At 39.3% G+C, this 2,775-nt stretch overlaps 1 annotated feature.

Annotated features, from left to right (window-relative positions):
• Positions 1,982-2,536: an enhancer, noted in NCBI's record as "NANOG hESC enhancer chr3:152811368-152811922 (GRCh37/hg19 assembly coordinates)". NCBI's record gives its function as "activates a minimal SCP1, AML or CMV promoter by ChIP-STARR-seq in primed H9 embryonic stem cells {active_cell/tissue: H9 hESC(primed)}" and the evidence as "EXISTENCE:reporter gene assay evidence [ECO:0000049][PMID:30033119]".

The raw sequence follows: 2,775 nt of genomic DNA, 5'->3' as shown, positions 1-2,775 counted from the left end.
AGGCAGGCAGATCACCTGAGGTCAGGAGTTCGAGACCAGCCTGTCCAATATGGTGAAACCCCGTCTCTACTAAAAATACAAAAGTTAGCCGGGCATGGTGGCGTGCACCTGTAGTCCCAGCTACTAGGAAGGCTGAGGCAGGAGAATCGCTTAAACCCAGGAGATGGAGGTTGCAGTGAGCTGAGATCATATCACACTGCACTCTTGCCTGGGTGACAGAAAGACAATCCATCTAAAAAAAACCAAAAAACAAAAAACAAAAACAAAACAAAAAACAGGACATTTAGGCCCATCCCCAGATCTCTGGAGAGGAGAGAGGCTGGGGATAGAGCCAGCCTCTATCACCAATAACCAATGACTTAATCAATTCTGCCTACACAATGAAACCTTCATCAAAACCCCATATAATAAGGTTCCAAGAGTTTCCCAGGGGGTGAACACAGGGAGGTGCTGGGAAGGTGGCACACCCAGAAAAGGCATGGAAGTGCCGTGCCCCTCCCTGCATACCTTGTCCTATGCCTTTCTCCCATTTGGCTGTTCTGGAGTTGTATCTTTCATAATAAACTGGTAATAGTAAGTAAAGTGTTTGAGTTCTGTGAGTTGTTATGAGAAATTATTGCACTTGAGGAGGGGGTTGTGGTAACTCTAATTTGTAGCCAAATCAGGCAGAACTGTGTGTAACCTGGAGAATCACTACTCACAAGTAGCACCTGAAGTGGTGGGCAATCCTGTGGGAATCCAGGTTAAATTGTGGGACACCTAGTTGGTGTTACGGAGAACTGGAGAATTGCTTGATGTGGAAAAGCCCACACACTTGGTGTCAGAAGTGTTGTAGGTACAAAAAAAGTTTTTCTTTTAGCCAGCCATTAACACACACATATATATACACACTCCAGCCCCATGAGATAAATAGTATTATTTACCGATGATGAAACTGTGGCTGAGAGAAATAAAATAATTTGGCAATGATCTCAGAGATAGCATGGTAGGGCTAAGACTGGAACTGAGGTCTTTCTTCATGACTTGTTCTTCTAACAATTACAAACTCTTTCCATCCCTAATAGGATTATTGTGAATGTATTTATTAAAAAGTGCATATAAAGTACTTCAAACAGTGCTTGACACATAATGACTTTGCAAATGTCAGTTTACTTCCCCTAACGCTGTAGACTTAATGGACAATAACATTTATTATTTGTTTATTTATTTAGAGATTTATTTAGAGATCACTCTGTTGCCCAGGTTGAAGTACAGTGGCACAATCATAGCTCACTGTAAACTTGAAATCTTGGCCTCAAGAAATCCTCCCAAGCAGCTGGGACTACAGGCATGTGCCACCACACCTGGCTAATATTTTTATTTTTTGTAAAGACAGGGTCTCATTGTGGTGCCCAGGCTGGTCTTGAACTCCTAGTCTCAAGTCATCCTCTTGCCTCAGCCTCCTAAAGTGCTGGGATTACAGGAGTGAATAACTGCTGGCCAACAATAGCATTTAAATCATTCCTATCTGGCTCTCCTAGTTTTTCTGGAATGCCAGTTTGAAATACACGTCTTTAGAAGATTGGCCATAATGATTATTTCTCCTGACTCAGTGTCAAATCCTGTTCACTGTTTCAGTAGATGCCTCTGTGTACATATGAATTTAAAAGAGGAAGATAATGAAAGTGCTTTTACATTTAAAAATAGTTTTCACAATTCTAATGCTTAGCAACTAGCATTAAAAAGGGAAAGTAAAGCACAGTAACATTCTTTTTCCTTTAAAGACCGTCTTGTTTAAAGGACCATCTCTATCTGTGAGTGCTTTAAATCAGCAAAAATTAAAGGAAAATATAATTAACTTCAAGTTCAACATAGCAGCCTATTAACTACTTAAGTCTTCTACCATTTATTTACCAATTCATACTGATAAAGGTTGATGATAAAATGACATATATTGAGAAATAAAAGTTAACTCTCCAAACTAAGAAAACATGCAATAAATGTAAATGCAATCAAAAAGGATTCTAAACAGAATTTCCTTTTGTTATTTCACTGGTAACTGCTATAATGCTATCTCAAAATGGCAAATAATAAAGCAGCCTTGGTTATGATGTTTGTAATCTATTTTTAAATGCTCCAGCATAGACAGTATAATATCATGAATGTGTTCATTACTGTTAGTTTCAGCTTCAAAACAAGGGGCAGTCAGTGGCTTTTGTGGAGATTCCAGAGATGGTCAACAAGCAATTGATCAGAAAATGCCACTTTTTGGAGTTAACTAATACAAATGCTTCAGCTATCTGCATCTCAATACCTGAGACTTGACTAATTAGCATATGAAATGTCAGAAGTGGTTTTTATCTGGGGGAAATTCATGGTTTATTTATAGACATAATGAATGTTAGAAAATGTAAAGTCATTGGTGACTTTAAATGTATTCATGGATTGCTAAAGTATTTTGGATACATTTTCTACCCTTACATGAATCCAGTAAGGCCTAAAACCTGTGCAGTATGGAAGCAACCTAAGACTGGACCCCTAGACAATTCTGTGTCTATTCTTTGATTCTGAGGATTACTGACTGTCCAAGACAAACTGGGGAGCACAAAATCTTGCCTGTAGATTATTGTTTTATCTATGTCCAGTAAACTTTCATGCAGAATACCCAAAAACAGAGAGCTGAGGCAGGAGAATAGCGTGAACCCAGGAGGCCGAGCTTGCAGTGAGCGGAGATTGCGCCACTGCACTCCAGCCTGGGCGACAGAGCAAGACTCCATCTCAAAAAAAAAACAAAAA

The sequence above is a fragment of the Homo sapiens genome, chromosome 3 (assembly GCF_000001405.40).
Source record: "Homo sapiens chromosome 3, GRCh38.p14 Primary Assembly".
Taxonomy (NCBI): Eukaryota; Metazoa; Chordata; class Mammalia; order Primates; family Hominidae; genus Homo; species Homo sapiens.
Note: the sequence above shows the minus strand (reverse complement) of the source record. Positions and strands in the feature narration are given on the sequence as shown.